The sequence below is a fragment of the Homo sapiens genome, chromosome 10 (assembly GCF_000001405.40).
Source record: "Homo sapiens chromosome 10, GRCh38.p14 Primary Assembly".
NCBI lineage: Eukaryota > Metazoa > Chordata > Mammalia > Primates > Hominidae > Homo > Homo sapiens.
Window position 1 is genome coordinate 125,805,310 of NC_000010.11, and position 15,332 is coordinate 125,820,641.

Below are 15,332 nucleotides of genomic sequence, written 5' to 3' on the forward strand. Positions count from 1 at the left end.
CAGAGTGGATGGAGGTGCTTGGCCAGCATCTCCTTGAGAGCAGGTCGGCATGGAGCAGATGCCAGTCAGGCCTCTGAATGTGACAGGCCATGGGATGAGCAGTGGCCTTGCTGTGCTGAGTGTGAATTCCAGCCTGCCACTTCATAGCTTGTGACCTTGGACAAGATCTGGGCCTTGGACCCCCAAGAGTCTCTATAGCAGCACAGTCAGAAAGAACTTTTGGTGATGATGGGAATGTTCTGTGTGGTCCAATTTGGTGCCACTGGCCACAGTGACAAGTGAGCTTGTGAAATGTGCCCAGTGTGACTGAAGAACTAAATTTTCAATTGTATTTAATTTCAATTAATTTACATTTACATTTAAATAGCCGTATGTGGCTAGTGGCTACTGTACTGGCCAGCACAGCTTGCAGTGGACACGATTCTGACTTCATGGGGTGATGGTGAAGATTAAATGACATCATACAGGCCACGTGTCTATGTACCCGAGACACGCTGGGCACTCAGTAAATGCTAGTCTTCAACGTTAACACCGAGCATGTAGTGACTCAGGAAAGGTACAACGAAGTTATTTTTAAAAGAAATTAGAAAAGAGAAAAAAGGAGAATTGGAGAACTTGGAAAGGATCCACTGAGCCCAGCAGTATCTCTGCTGTTCCCTGACTGCTCACTGCCGCCCCCAACCCAGACGACTCTGTCAGGGGCCTAATTAAGCTCCAGGGATCCTCAGACCACAGTGTAGAAAAAGACGCAGGACTTTCTCTAGAACAAGCTCCCAGTAACACAAAGAAAAATATAAGCTAGAGAACCTTCAGGCAACAGCAATGACTTACGGCAGGAAGACTTGTAAGTAATGCCTTATAAGACGTTAGTGTACAAGTTTGCACGTCAAGAAAGGCCAACATCACCTTTAGGAGTATTTTTTTTAAATAACATAAATACTTTGTTTTACCAGAAACAAAACCATCTATCACTGTTTCAGAAGCCATAAAGAGACCTATTTAAGGTATACTCTCTCCCTATACCACTCATCCTGATCTCACCACCCAAGGGCCAAGGCATATACCCCTCTCCTGGGACCACCTTAGAGGAAACTCTCAGCTGTCAGCAGTTCATCTGACCCTGGCCTCCCAGCTCAGCAGACACTCAAGCAATTTTAGAAAGGGGTCAGAAAACTCTAGCCTGGGGTCAAAGCCAAGCCCATTGTTTGTTTATTTCCTATGGCTGCTCTCATGCTTCTGTTGCAGAGATTAGTAGTTCTGACAGACCATTTGCCTGCAAAGCCCAAAATATCCTTAACAGATGAAGTTTGCCAGCTCATGATCTCTAGGAAAGCCTGGATTTCCTCCTCTTCAGCAATCTAAGATAAGATAGTTCTACTTCATGCTCTCATGGGGGTGTATGATCTTACACCTACAGCAGAGGAGTCAAATGACAAGGGTGTAAGAGCTTGCGGTTGTACTGGACATTCAGGGAACAGAGAGGAAGGGAGATGCACCTTAGAGGTGGGGCTGCCCTACAAGTAGACGGTCAGCCTTCCCATCCCTCTTGCTCCAAGAATTTTTGCCTATGTATCTTCTGAAGCCTACAATTCCATAATTAGTTTAAGACTAAGTCCCCATTTAAATGCTAACACCCCTAGAACAAGTGCCACTTTAAATCCAAGTCCACAGGCAGCCCAATCATGAGTCAGTTCTTTACCTGGGAGCAAGCTGGGAGAGGGAATTCAGAGACAGAAGTAGCTCCTGAGAAGGGAAAGGACAGTCCTCAGTAAGGGGAGAGTACCCACTCACACCTCCTGCCTCTGCTCTCTTTGGAATCCCTCAAGTGATCTCTCCACTGTTTTTATCTCCCAAATGTTTTATTTTGTGTTATGTTCAAGTCAAGTTCTTTGGTACAGGGGGTAGAAGGAAGTGGGCTAAACCTCACAAAGTATAGACATACACAAATACAAATAGGCTATGCTCCCAGAGTGGGTTATACGATGCTCACCAATCAATCTCACCACCAAGAATGCACTGAGGAAATATTCTTTTCCCTAGGTAGTGGTTGTGAGGTCAACAAAAAATAAATGGCTTCATTTGGAGTGATGTTTTTCTACTTACTGGAACAAATATATTCTGCAAGCTTTTCTGCATTTCCACAGGTTTCTCCTTCTGTATCCAGGCCAATTTTACTCACTGGAAAACCACAAAGAAATGTATTTCTTAACACGGTTATTGAAGTCCTTTTGTTCCAGCGTTATTTTTTAACGTGCAAATACACAGGTATGCAGTTTACAAATCACATAGAGGATGTCTTTTCTTGAAAGCTACTGAGGGAAGATCACAAGTGTCTGTTCAGAAGAGAAAGCATCAGGTCCTGGTACCTGCACCCCAGTTGTGTAGGCTGGGTAAGTAAGGCCTTAACTAGCTTCCCTGAGCCCCACATAGCTCATCTACAAGAGGGGGAAAAACCAACCACATGGAACTGTTTTAAGGATCGTGTCAGATAATAAGAGCAAAGTGCTTGCCATCTAGAAGGTGCTCAACAAAGGCTGTTTTCTCTTCAGTCAGGAAGGAGATGATGGGCATTTGGTACTTTTTGCAGGAATCGGCATTACAGAGCCTTCATTTTTTTGGGAGGATGTGGCCAGACCACATCCAGAAAGGTGTTATGGCTTGACATGGCCAGACTAAAATGGAAGGAAGGGGAGGAAAGGTTTCATAATAATCTGCTAACAGGGACCCACAGCGCTACAAATACAAGTCATTTAGGATGAGGGGCTATACCAGCACTTTTGTGAGATCCCTATTCATGAACCAAGTAAGAAGCTAACAGACTCAGGCTCCCCCTGCACTTTTCCAGACAGCAAACACTTGGCCACTCCACAAAGCGTGCTGATGAAGGGAGGCCTAAGGGACTGGCTCAGTCAACACTGCTACCTGCTCACAGGAATGTGGAATGCCTCTGAGGAAGGAAGTGCTGTGGGCTTTCCACTTAGGAGTCACACAGAGCCTGGTTAGTAACAAATGGCAGCTTTAATAAAAACACCAGCAGCTTTTAACTTATGGATCATTAAAAACATGCTGAATCAAAAGAAAAATAAAGCTGTAACTCAGTTCAGGAACTAAGCCCTTGCTTATGCTACAGTGGCAACCGAGGCTGGACCTCCTGTCTGAGCTTAGAAGAGCTAAACGCATCAAAAACAAAAGTAAACAAAAAAACCTGTAAAAATCCCACAGGAACTGAACTGAGACATAAGAACTTAGCAGTGACGCTGGTAATCAATATTGACATAAATATGCATTTTTCCCAAGTAATGAAACAATAATAACCATAACCAGAACATTAACTCTCATATATAGCTTTGCTGATCACAAAGTAAGCACTTGCTCATTTGATCCTCACACCACAACCCTGTGAACAGAACAATTACTACTGTACTTGAGAGGGAAGGAAGCTATTAAGCAGTGGCCAGCTCTATTTGTGAGGGCAGAGACTGGGGCTACCCGGTCCACCCCACAGTCCACAGATGGCTCTCAAGAAATGTTTGGGGAATGCATATTTGGTCTAAGGTCTCAGTCCCTGCATGTGGCAAGACTGACTCTGCTTCAAGTCAGTACAACATTTCAACCAACACTCTGGCTGGGTAAGCCCATCTTAAGGGCCCTGCCCAAGTAAAAGCTGACAGTGAAACTTCAAATTGTCTCCAACTGTGTTAAATAAACCTGCCAGAGAGTATTTTTTATATTTGAGAGGTTAAGACACTGACTGCCACAGTTAAAGGGACTATAAGAATGTACTACCAAGTTTGGCTAATTTTTGTTATTTCTGGTAGAGAAGAGATTTCACCATGTTGCCCAGGCTGGTACAGTCTTTCTGTGTTATGAATTCCAAGTTGTTAATTGCTAAGCTATCTTCTGTGACATCACTGGTCTGGGTTTACAAGGCCAAGCAACAGTGCCTACTAAATGGCGCCCAGGTCCAACTTTGCAATCAGATGGGAAAGTTGGGGCACCTGACCTTTGGGCAGCCAAATGGAAGGCTTTCCTAGGATATGGCTGGCTGAGTTGCAAGGTATCAAACCACAAGCCAACCATCTTTGCTTTTTCAATAAAAATTAAAATGTTATTAAAATATGCATATATTATTGAACCAAATAATGTTCTCAGGAGATTTTATGTAGACCAAGTACAGTAAGTCCTCACTTAATGTCAACAATAGATTCTTGGAAATTGCCACTGTAAGTGAAACGACATACAGCAGGTCCTTGAATAACATCGTTTCATTCAACATGTTTTCATTACAACATTGATAAGGAAAAAAAAATTTGTTTCATTATATATCATTTCACTTGAAGTGGCAGTTTCCAAGAACCTATCAACAATGTTAAGTGAGGACTTTCTGTATAATGTTACATAGCATGTACTTTTGAAAAAAATTTATTTTCAAATAAATAGAGACAGGGTTTCACCATGTTGCCCAGGCTGATCTTGAACTCTTAAGTTCAAGTGATCTGCCTGCTTCTGCCTCCCAAAGTGTTAGGATTACAGGTGTGAGCCACTGCACCCAGCCAGCATGTACTTTTTGCCATCTATTATTAATCAATAATACCTGTAAAATTATGTCAGCGTGCAACATTTATAAAGAAATACTGGCATCTTCTCTCACTGGACTTCCACACCGAAATCCCTTGCTATTCACTGGACCCTTGTTTTCATTTCTACTTCAAGAAAAATGTCTACCTTGTCTTCTCTTTGCTTCAAATGTCCAACTTTCCTAACCTGATTCCCAGGCTCTAGGGAGCCAGGGGTGGCTCTTGACTAGAGGGCTTGTGGGCAGTGGAAAGTGGCTCCTAATGATCCCTGTGATCCATGCCCCTGTGTCATCCCTCCGCTTGAGTGTGGGCTGGACTTACTTGATTCAAGCCAAAAGAAATGGCAGAAGAAATGGATGCCACTTCCAAGATTAGGTTATAAAAAGACTGTGGCTTCAGTGGTAGGTGCTCTCTTTTGCTCTCTCTTGGATTGCCTTGCGACAGGGGACGCCAGCTGCCATGTCTTAGGTAGCCCTCTCGGGAGGCCCATGTGAGTGAGCTGGGAAGCAGATCTTCTGAGGCCACTGACAGCTATGTGAGTGATTTTGGAAGCAGACCCTCCCCTAAGTCAAGCCTCAAAATGTCTGTAGCCCTGACCACCAGCTTGACCATGGCCTGGTTACAGAGAAGCCCACTAAATCATGCCCAGATTCTGGCCCACAGAAACATTGAGATGATAAATGCCTGTTTCTAGCTAGTAAGTTTTGGGGTAATTTGGGGGTAATTTGTTACGCAGCAAAGATAATACATTGGGCCTGGTCTCCTCCCAGCTGTTGGTGCTCAACTTCTGATAACTCTCCAGGCTCCTGCTGAGATTCTAGTTGAACAGAAACCTCAGAGAGTTCAAGCAATGCCTTGTCCCTGTACCTACTCAAAAGAGCTCCTTTGTACATTATTATATCTGAAAAGGTGAGCTAAAATAGAATGTTCAAAGTTGGGTGATTGACTTTCATGTCAAGGAAAAATGTGGTTTCCTTTCAAAGACATTTTTAAAAGTTACAACACTTCTAATTTCCTCTCTCCTTTGATAATATGTTCCCTGCATTTAGAACATGTCCTTTTCCTTCACAACTGAATAAACAGGGACCAGACTGAGTCCAGTGAGTGCCTAACTGAGACCAAGGCCCTGCTGCTTGTGCTGCACTTGATATGGTCCACTCTCAGCCACTCTAAGTCTCAAGACATAGATGCTCATCATTCATTGTATCACCATAGTCTTTTTTCTCATTTTCTTCTCATATGACAGGACAGTGACAGCAAAATGCATAGTGATGCTACCGAAATCAAACTGAAGGGGATGTGATGCTCAAAATGTTTGCTTATCAGTGAATGTGTGAAAGTTTGGAAAATGTATAAATATACTGTATATTTGATAGTTGAGTTTTTGGTAGGAAATATAGAGAATGAAAGAAACTGGCTATTTTCTTTCCTCTTCTCATTCAGGAAAAAATGATAAAAGAAAGTAACAAGCAAATTCTTAACTTATTTTTGGAGAGAGATGTGCGGGAGGGAAGATGGTTTCCTTGGCAACCAAGCCACTAATTCCCTTTCCCTGGCTGATCTGCTGAGCTTGTGGTAAAAGTCATGCTGCTCAGAAGATCTAGGAATCATCTTTTAATTAGCTTAGCAACTCCCAACTGGTTTCTTCCCCAGCCTCATTTTGTTCTCTGGAAAATGTGCTTTTAATTCTTAAACTATTTTCACTCATATTATACATTCCTCTAATATTTTCAAATTCACTGGACAAATTGAACTGTTCTGAAACAAAGTTACAGGCTAATTTATGACAATTGCTAAGCATTGTTTTAAGTATTTAAAATGCTCAATGTTAATTTTTAATGATTACTATTTACATTTTATGCTTTAAGAAGAATAAATAGACTCAAGACTGGAAAAATGCACAAAATATTAAGAAAACCAAAAAAAAACAACTATGATATCACTATCTGGAGATTTAGGCTTTTAAAAAAATTATAGTAAAAATATAACATAAAATTTGTCATTTTAATCACTAAGTGCATAATTCAGTGGCATTATGTACATTCACAATGGAATTAGTCAGCCAAAGGGTACAAACATTTTAATAAAGCTTTTGCATACATACTGACCAAGTGGTTCTCAAAAGATGTAAACCAATTTTTAATGCCATTTGGAAATGTTTGATTATATTTGTTTCACTGCATTCTTATCAGTAGTATCGTATACTTAATTAATTTTTGCAAATTTAATAAGCAAAAAATAATATTTTTAAACTGAGTTAAACTGTTTTTTAAAACTGAAAAGGCTAAGCCATTTTTTGTTGTTTTATTTTTACCTTGACTCCTTACCTAGAGAAGCAGTAGCATTTCCAACCACATACACTGACTTGGCATTCCATTTTTCTTTCAGAGACCTTTCCCAGACTGTAAAACATGAAATGATATGTGAATTGCAAATACCAAAGTGGCCATTTGGACTGTTGCCCAAGGCTGCTTGTTCACCCTAAGAAACTGTGAGCAAAGCAAACTATTAGCAACCAAATGTAAAAAACAGCATCTCAAACTAAAATTCCATTTTCACTTTGTTCATGTTTTATAGGCAATTTTTAAAAAATTGCTTTCATAAATGTTTTAGTACTCCTTGCTTGAAATATTAGCCTATCTCCACAGTTGGTACTAGAAGAATTTTAATGGGAACCACGAAATCAACATAACTTGAAGAATTAATCTGCATAGTGAAATCAAAAATTTAAATCTAGACTTTTAAAGAAAAAGACACTGGTCATTTAAAAAAAGCAACTTAAATGTCTAACAAGGAAATCCAATTGGTTTATTTGGGACATAAATCTGAAAGCAGTCAACAAACTGTAATCTCAGAGGAGAGGGTTCATTTATCCATTACACCAAAGTAAAAATAATAAATTTCAGGTCAATTAACAAACACAATTTGATACAGAATATTATCATTTTATGATCAAACAAAATCTTTAAATATAGATTAAAGAAACACAAAGAGAAAATGGATTGTATAAATATATCATAAAGCTACTGGGCATTCATTACATTTTTAGAAAACAGGGAAATAATGGTTCTTCCTTTCCAAAATCTGGTTATGAACATAACTTTCCCTTAAATTCAAGAGCATTCCTCTACCCTTTACATTAAGGGAAATTCCCTTTGAAATGGTAACCAAAGATTGAGTTCCACTTTGCTTCCTACCCCATAAATATCAATAGTATTTATTCAAAAGTTATCCATAGCATGTAAACAAACTACTTTCCAAGCCTCACAGCAGAACAACTGGAGTGAGCACTGGGTGGAGTCAGAAAGCCTTCCACAGAGCCAGCTCTGCCCCTTAACGTGTGTGTCCCAGGTAAGTCAGTTAACGCACCTCGTCTGTTTCTTCATCAAGGTAACTGGGATTAACTACACTCCTACTGCTTATTCCCTATGGTTGTTGTGAGAATCAAAATAAGAAAATACATGGGAAAATGCATTTTAAACTTTATTATAAAGCACCAGAAAGAGTTATAGTGACCTTTCTAGGGTTTTCCTCTTTTTCATTATCTTCATCCTCAAAACATACACAAAAAGAAAAAATACAACTGCAAGAAAAAGCACCCAGAGCACCACTGGGAAAGAGTACACATGCTTCCCCATCTAGCGTATAATGGCACAATCGCGGCTCATACAACCTCTGCCTCCTGAGTTCAAGTGGTTCTCGTGCCTCAGCCTCCTGAGTAGCTGGGACTCCAGGCATGTGCCACCACGCCCAGCTAACTTTCGTATTTTTTGGTAGAGATGGGGTTTCACCATGTTGGCCAGGCTGGTCTGGAACTCCTGACCTCAAGTGATCTGCCCACCTTGGCCTCCCAAAGTGCTGGGATTACAGGCATGAGCCACTGCGCCTGGCTGGCTCTGAGTTTCTTAGGTTCTCACGCTTTCTTTTCAACAAGAGGTGAATGTGTGTATGAAATCACCAAGAAGGTGGGATGTTTAGGCTACAGCGAAGCCTGGTTAAATGTGGAGACAGAATAACCAAAACTCACCACTGTCACTTACTCCATGCCCACTCTGCTCCAGGTAATGTCCTGGATGCTTTCCTTTGGGACTCAGACTCTGCAGCTTGAATCCTGCACTTGTGCTTTACACATTGTGGGGGCCTGGAAAGTTCCATACCCTTTGTTCTCCAGGGTCCTCATCTGCCAAGTGAAAATACTAAGCACATCTATCTCACAGGAAAAAGTATTCAGGACAGAGTCTCGCACAGAGTGAGCATTCAGTAAGTTCTACCTAACTAATAGTCTACTGTTAGTAGATAATCCCATTACTATTAGTAGTAATCCCATGATGAGAGGTCAAGGAACTCATTAATGTCCAAATGGCTGCATAAACCCAGGACTAACTCACTCCAAAGCCCTTGCATAACCACTCTGCCCGCTGCCTCCGCTCATCAGTGTAACTGTGGAGGTGGGTGGCCCGAGTGTGAGGCCTGGCTCTGCACTGACTTGTTCTGTGCTTACTATCCTGGCCTCAGTTTTCTCAATGGTAACATAAGACATAAGATCATAGCAATGTGTGCCTCTGGATTGTTATCTAGGGTTAAGTGGGGTAATGAACGTGAAGTATTCATTACACAGGGTCTGACATACAACAGGCACTCCATAATTGTTAGCTAGGAAGCTGTTCAATTGCATTTATTAAGGTGTTTGCTCAGGCTGAAACCCAGGGTTCTGTTAATGGGCACTGCCATTTTCATACTGTTCTAATAGTGAGGGACGGAGGTGGGAAGACAAGTCAAAGAGGTGACTGGGTCACTAAGTGCCTGACATGGTGGCACTGACCATTTTCTCATAGTTAGATTTTTTCATCATCTCTCTTTCAGGAAAGTAGTATTTATCCTATTTTCAGATGATACCTTCTAAGGGGATATATCAGTCCCTAGGAGGTGAACAACGAATAGACAGGGGAAAGTCCTCCTCAGGGTCATCTGTCTGGGAGTTTAGGAGATAGCCCTGTTCTCCTGTTTCCCAAGGCAGAGTCTGTGACCTGATACCACTAAGCACTCACTTCTCTTAGAAGTGCAGCTGCTTCTGGAATTTAGTCTCCCAGCAGGAGAAATAAGAGTAAATAAATGTCCAGTGGAATCCACAGCAGACCCACCCTCACCTTCAGTTTTATTGTTTTGCTCCAAACATAACTCTGCTGCTTCCACTGCTCTGGGGCTGGTAAAAATGAGTCCCCCGTAATCTTCAGGATGAGAAAGCTGCACACCAAAAAGCAATAAAGACATTTTATACGATGGCTATGTTCAACATCTTCCAAGGAGCTAAGACTCAGAATTCCAAATGCTTCACAATAGTAGTAGGCAAACTAATTCCTTCCACCCATCCCCCCAACACTTACTGAGTGCTTACTATGTGCCTGGAACTATTTATTCTAGGACTTTTAGGGTACACAGGTGAATTCCTTATTCCCAGTATTTCCCTCAGGAAGCTCAGAGTCTAGGGCAGAGACAGTGAAACACAGGGTGATAAGTGCACTGCAGCACAGAGGGGAAGCCTGACGCAGCCTGGGATTAGAGTGGGGTGCAGGTAGTGGGGGAAGACTTGACCCGAATCTGTAATAAAAATGGGAATATTCAGGGGGTGATATCAATGCTGAAGTCCTGATTTTCAAAGAGGATAATGGTGATATCATCTACCGAACATTTACTCTGAGCCAGGCACTAGGCTGCTGTACATATCTGACTTCACTGAAGCTGTGGGCACTGAATTTTCACTCTGAAGCATTTGGAAGGCTTTACTGGACTTGTCTCCTGCAATTTTTATCACTCCTCACTGGAAGAAGAACTGAAGTTGTGGGCAGAAGCCCTGGGTTTGAGTCCCAGCCCTGTCTCTTACTTGCTAGAGGTCTTAGCTGAGTTGCCTAATTTGAGACCCCAATCTCTAAAACGGGAAAATAATACCTCCCTGGCCTGCTTTGCAGAAGTTGGGGGTGAGGGGTAGATTAAATGAGAGGATGAGTGAAAGGGTTCTAGGACTGCTGAGAGCAATGCAGGTTTGCTGCTCTCACCATGACCTGCTCTCCTGGGCCCCAATCTCTGAGTCTGGGTGGCTTTCTGGAGGGGCTGATAGAGGCTCAGTCAGAACCTCCCAACAGCAGCAGCCTCCTGGAGCCAGGTGAAGTTATGCTGCCATGTTTTAAAGTTTGGGAATAAAATAAGAAGACAGTAAAATAGTCCCTCTCTGGCTTCAGCTGGCAAGGGAGAAATCAAACACTAACATGGTGCTCAGTCACAACAGGCCTTACCTTCTCAGAGAAACTGGGAAGAGACAAAAACTCAAACGATAAAACAGGGATCAAAGTGGCTTCAAGTCCATATAATCCTAATTCCTGAAATGAAAGAATATAGTTCTGGATTGGCTAGGGCTGTTTTTAAAATAAGGGAACATTAACAATTTATTCTGCGTCAGTTCCTCTGAGGTTTTGCAAAACCCATCCCTGCCTGCTCCAGGCCCCTTGACTCAGTAGAAAGGACACTGTGGGATAAGGAGTCTCAGGCCACTTACCCTGATATACGGATCCTGGCCACAGTCATCTTCCTTCGCATCCTTCAGTAAAAGAACCTTCATTATTGCCTGGCAGTCCTTATAGGGCACTGCGACAGAGCAAGGAAACAGATCTTAATTAGATCTCAAAGACTCTTCCTAAGCAATTTCCGATGGGGACGGTACACAAGAAGAAGGCAATCAAATGCTTGTGGAAGAGACCTATCCCTCCTACACCATGACTTAGCACTAATGGGCTTGTTCTTTCTGAAGACCCCTGTCACTGATAAGGCCAAGAAAGAGCATGTTAGCAGTTGATATCACTTGGAAAGACAGATGAAACCATTAGTGAAAGCCAAGTGTCCTATGCCAAACGTTTATGGTTCCGGAAAGAGAACTGATGTAAATTTAGGGTTGTATCAACAACAAACAGAGAAATTGGTATCTTATGTTTTAAGGAGATAAATAGCTTTTCCATTTCAAGATAAATATGCTAAGTAGCTCATAAGCACTTTGGGAAATAATTATATTGACTCTTCTACTTATTAAATGATGTTTTCTAAACGTCAAGTATCATAAGAGAGTCTAACAACATGGAAAACGATTTGTTGACATCAAAAGCTTTATATACTTCATCTTCTTTCTTCCTGTAATTTCACTTCTAAGAATACTAAAGCAATACTGATAAATGTGTCCAAAGATTAACATAAAGATGCTCACACTAGAATTCTTTTGGGTCTCGTTGGGTCATATTAGGGAATGTGGCTCTTATCTTAATAGCAACGGGAAGCTTCTTGTTTATAGATGTATTTTTTTTTTTTTTTTTTTTTTTTTTAGAGGCAGGGTTTCACCATGTTGCCCAGGCTAGTCTCGAACTCCTGAGCTCAGGTGATCTACCTGCCTCGGCCTCCCAAAATGCTGGGATTACAGGAGTGAGCCACTGCACCCAGCCTTATAGATGTATTTCTCCTCTCTTTTCCTCATTTCTGCTTGCCCTTTTACCTTCTCCCTTCTCTAAGGTGATAATATAAGGAAGGAAGTATGGTGTCACAGAATAAGCACAGGACTAAGGGCCAACGGACCTGAGCTCTGGTCTCAGCTTTATGACTTAACCATGGTGTGATCTTGTTTTTTCCCATGTTAAATGGGAATAACCTCTGCCCTACCAAGCCTTAGGGTTGCTGAGTGACTCAAAGAAGATAAAAACAGCGAACAGATCTATTGAACTTACTGCCTCCCAGGCACTATTCTAAGAGCTTCACATGCATTAAGTCCACCTACGAGGCTTAGGAAGAAGCTGAGGTGTACAGAGGATGACACTCATCCAAAGTCTCAGAATTGCTACGTGGCAGAGCTGGGATTCACACCCAACCAGTCTGGCTCCAAAGTCTGTGCTTTTAACCCCCTACGCTATATTATGCCTCACATACACTTTGAATACGAAAATGTTTGGGAAAAATAGAGGTATAAAAATATAAAGTATCACTGTAGTACAAAGTGCTTAGTTTAGTTATGCAAACACCCCAAAGAAAAATCAATCTACCCATTGTAAACAGAGAAAATATTTCTCCTGGGTTCTAATCTGTGGTTCTCTTAGGTAATAAAACCGATGCTGGCATGAAGTTTAGGCTTCTGGATAATAAAGAGCTCCCTGAGATGTGTTGCAAATAAAAATCCAACTACTACCCTTATCCTTTATCTGACGTCACTGAAAGCATTTGTCTTCTTTTTTAATCCTGTATACAATCATTCCCAAACACTGAAAGCATTTCTAATATAAAATTAGGCCAGGACAGTGGTTCATGCCTGGTAATCTCAGCACTTTGGCAGGCTGAGGCAGGAGGATTGCTTGAGAGCAGGAGTCCAAGATCAGCCTGGACAACATAGCGAGACCCCATTTCTACAAAAATTTTAAAAGTTGTTAACAAGGAGCCGGGCATAGTGGCGCATCCCTGTAGTCCTAACTACGCAGGAGGCTGAGGTGGGAGAATCACTTGAGCCCAGGAGTTCAAGGTTGCTGTGGGCTATAATCGTGCCACTGCACTCCAGCCTGGGTGACAGAGAAGGATCTTGTCTAAATAATAATAATAATAATAATAATATAAAATTAAAAGGTTCTGTTGTTGATGATTCTTTGCTGTGCTAGAGTCACATATTATCAGGCTGATTGGGAAAGAAATCAATTGAGAAGCGTGCACAGATAGGTTAACATGTCGCCACCTTGGGCTTTAGGAAGAGGCTTGGTGGAGTAGAGGGTGTTTGCACAGGAGGGCCAGTGTCTGGGTTCTGGTCTAGGCTGCTCTTGCCTCAGTCTCAGTTTCAGATTCCTGTACATTGGAAAGGGGCTGTGAGCCTCTCCATTGTTGGCTTTTTTGATGGACTTTCTTTCCTGTAGTAGATGCTCATTATTTGCTCACCTTGTGGGAAAACAACAATTTCAATTTTACCCAGCATCTTTGAAACAGAAAGAATGATTAATTTTCCTTAAAGTAAAATGGAGCACTTGTCCTTCAAGTTGCCTGCTTAGGTCTCTCCCAAGCATACTCTACTTTCTTTCCTGTTCTAAAGTTTTTTGTTGTTGTTTTTTGAGATGCAGTCCTGCTCTGTCGCCCAGGCTGGAGTGCAGTGGTGCAATCTCAACTCACTGCAACCTCCGCCTCCCGGGTTCAAGCGATTCTCCTGCCTCAGCCTCCTGAGTAGCTGGGACTACAGGCATGCGCCACCATGCCCAGCTAATTTTTGTATTTTAGTAGAGATGGGGTTTCAGCATGTTGGCCAGGATGGTCTCCATCTCTTAACCTCGTGATCCGGCTGCCTTGGCTTCCCAAAGTGTTGAGATTACAGGTGTGAGCCACTGCACCCGGCCTAAAGTTTTTTAAAATAAACTTCCACTCCTGCTCTGAAGCTTGCCTCGGTCACTTTTTCTGCCTTATGCCCCCAGTTGAATTTTCTTCTGAGGAGACAAGATTGAGGTTGCTGCAGGTGTCTACTGATTTGCCACTGGTAACATATTTGGTGCCACGTGACTCAGATGGTAAGGGATCTCTATGCCTCGCTTTCTTCTGCTGGAGGCATCTGATCCCTGTGCAGTTTTTCTTCTCCTCCCTCTCTCCTGCTTACTAAACAACCCCCAGAACAATTCCTCTTGGCCATACGTGACTCTGCTCTCTGCCAGTTGATTTCTTAGCTCACTCTGGTGGGTGGCTCATGGGAGTGGGAAGGACCCTAGGGTCTGCATCAAGCAGATCAGAGGCACTATATGGCCCTCCTTGATAGGAGGCTTGAGACTGGTGAGGCTAGGGCCTAAAAACCGTGCAGTGTCTGGGGTTTCCTCTGCCTTTTTTTCCAATGAAAATAACGAAACCTGTTATTTCCCATTGAGGGGGAAAAAGGCGGGAGAAGCCCCAGCAGAAATGAAGCTGCTCCTGAAGCTTCCAACATGAAACTCACCTCGGCACTGGTAAAAAGAGGGCTCAACCTGTCTCTAGATTTACAGTCTAATGCTTGCTCTGCCATTTTACCCTCATACTTATGTTCATCAATCATTGATGAAAAAGAAAAGAAAAAAAAAATGACTGGAATAAGGGCACCTTACTGGTAAGAAAGAACCAAACCTCAAACCCGTACCTTCTATGTCATGGTGTTCTGGGTATCAGCAATAACAACAGTCACCCTTTTACTGAGCATTTACTCATGTTAATTACTGGGTGTATTAGAGTTCTTCAGAGAAACAGAACCAATGGCATATATTTACATCTAGAAAGGGATTTGTTATAAGGTATTAGCTCATGCAGTTATGGAGGCTGAGAAGTCCCATGATCTGCTGTCTGCAAGCTGGAGACTTGTTAGCAGGAAGGCTGGTGTTGTAGCCTGAAGGCCTGAGAGCCAAGGGTGTAGGTTCCAGCCTGAGTGTGAAGGCCTCAGCACCAGGAGCACCAAGGGCAGAAGATATCCCAGATCAAGCATGCAGGAGGAGACAGGACACATTCTTCCTTCTTTGGCTTTTTGTTCTATTTAGGCCCTCAACAGACTGGATGCTGCCCACCTACTTTGGGGAGGGCAATCCACTTTACTCAGTCTATCCATTCAAATGCTCATCTTTTCTGAAAACAACTTCACAGACACACCAAGAAATAATGTTTAACCAGATATCTGGGCATCCGTGATCCAGTCAAGATGACATGTAAAAGTAACTATCACACTGGGCTAAGCATTTTACATGCAAG

The 15,332-nt window shown here is 42.3% G+C and overlaps 1 protein-coding gene and 1 non-coding gene across 23 annotated transcripts in view, besides 1 other annotated feature; one reads left to right on the top strand and one right to left on the bottom strand.

The window, feature by feature from the left end:
• Positions 1–15,332, bottom strand: part of UROS (uroporphyrinogen III synthase) — a 38,279-nt gene that overhangs the window by 20,330 nt on the left and 2,617 nt on the right. For 20 of the 22 annotated variants that reach the window (NR_136677.2, NR_136676.2, XR_007061985.1 and 17 more), the window contains exons 2-6: positions 11,128–11,216; positions 10,868–10,951; positions 9,725–9,821; positions 6,905–6,979; positions 2,104–2,178 (exon numbers count right to left, since the gene is read on the bottom strand). Coding sequence is in view for 15 of the 22 variants with exons in the window: in XM_011540127.3 (XP_011538429.1) it covers positions 2,104–2,178; positions 6,905–6,979; positions 9,725–9,821; positions 10,868–10,951; positions 11,128–11,190 (394 nt within the window). In the remaining 7 variants the exon portion in view is untranslated. The remainder of the gene's footprint in view (positions 1–2,103; positions 2,179–6,904; positions 6,980–9,724; positions 9,822–10,867; positions 10,952–11,127; positions 11,217–15,332) is intronic. The other 2 variants (NR_136675.2, NR_136678.2) reach the window with 2 other exon arrangements.
• Positions 11,382–11,394: a transcriptional cis regulatory region, noted in NCBI's record as "UROS GATA1 binding motif range of bases targeted for CRISPR/Cas9 perturbation among clones U-1, U-2 and U-7". NCBI's record gives its function as "positively regulates UROS gene expression in K562 erythroleukemia cells {active_cell/tissue: K562}" and the evidence as "EXISTENCE:mutant phenotype evidence [ECO:0000015][PMID:27044088]".
• On the top strand, positions 14,431–14,513 carry MIR4484 (microRNA 4484). Its single transcript, NR_039704.1, has one exon. It is a non-coding gene; the product is annotated as a microRNA 4484 (primary transcript).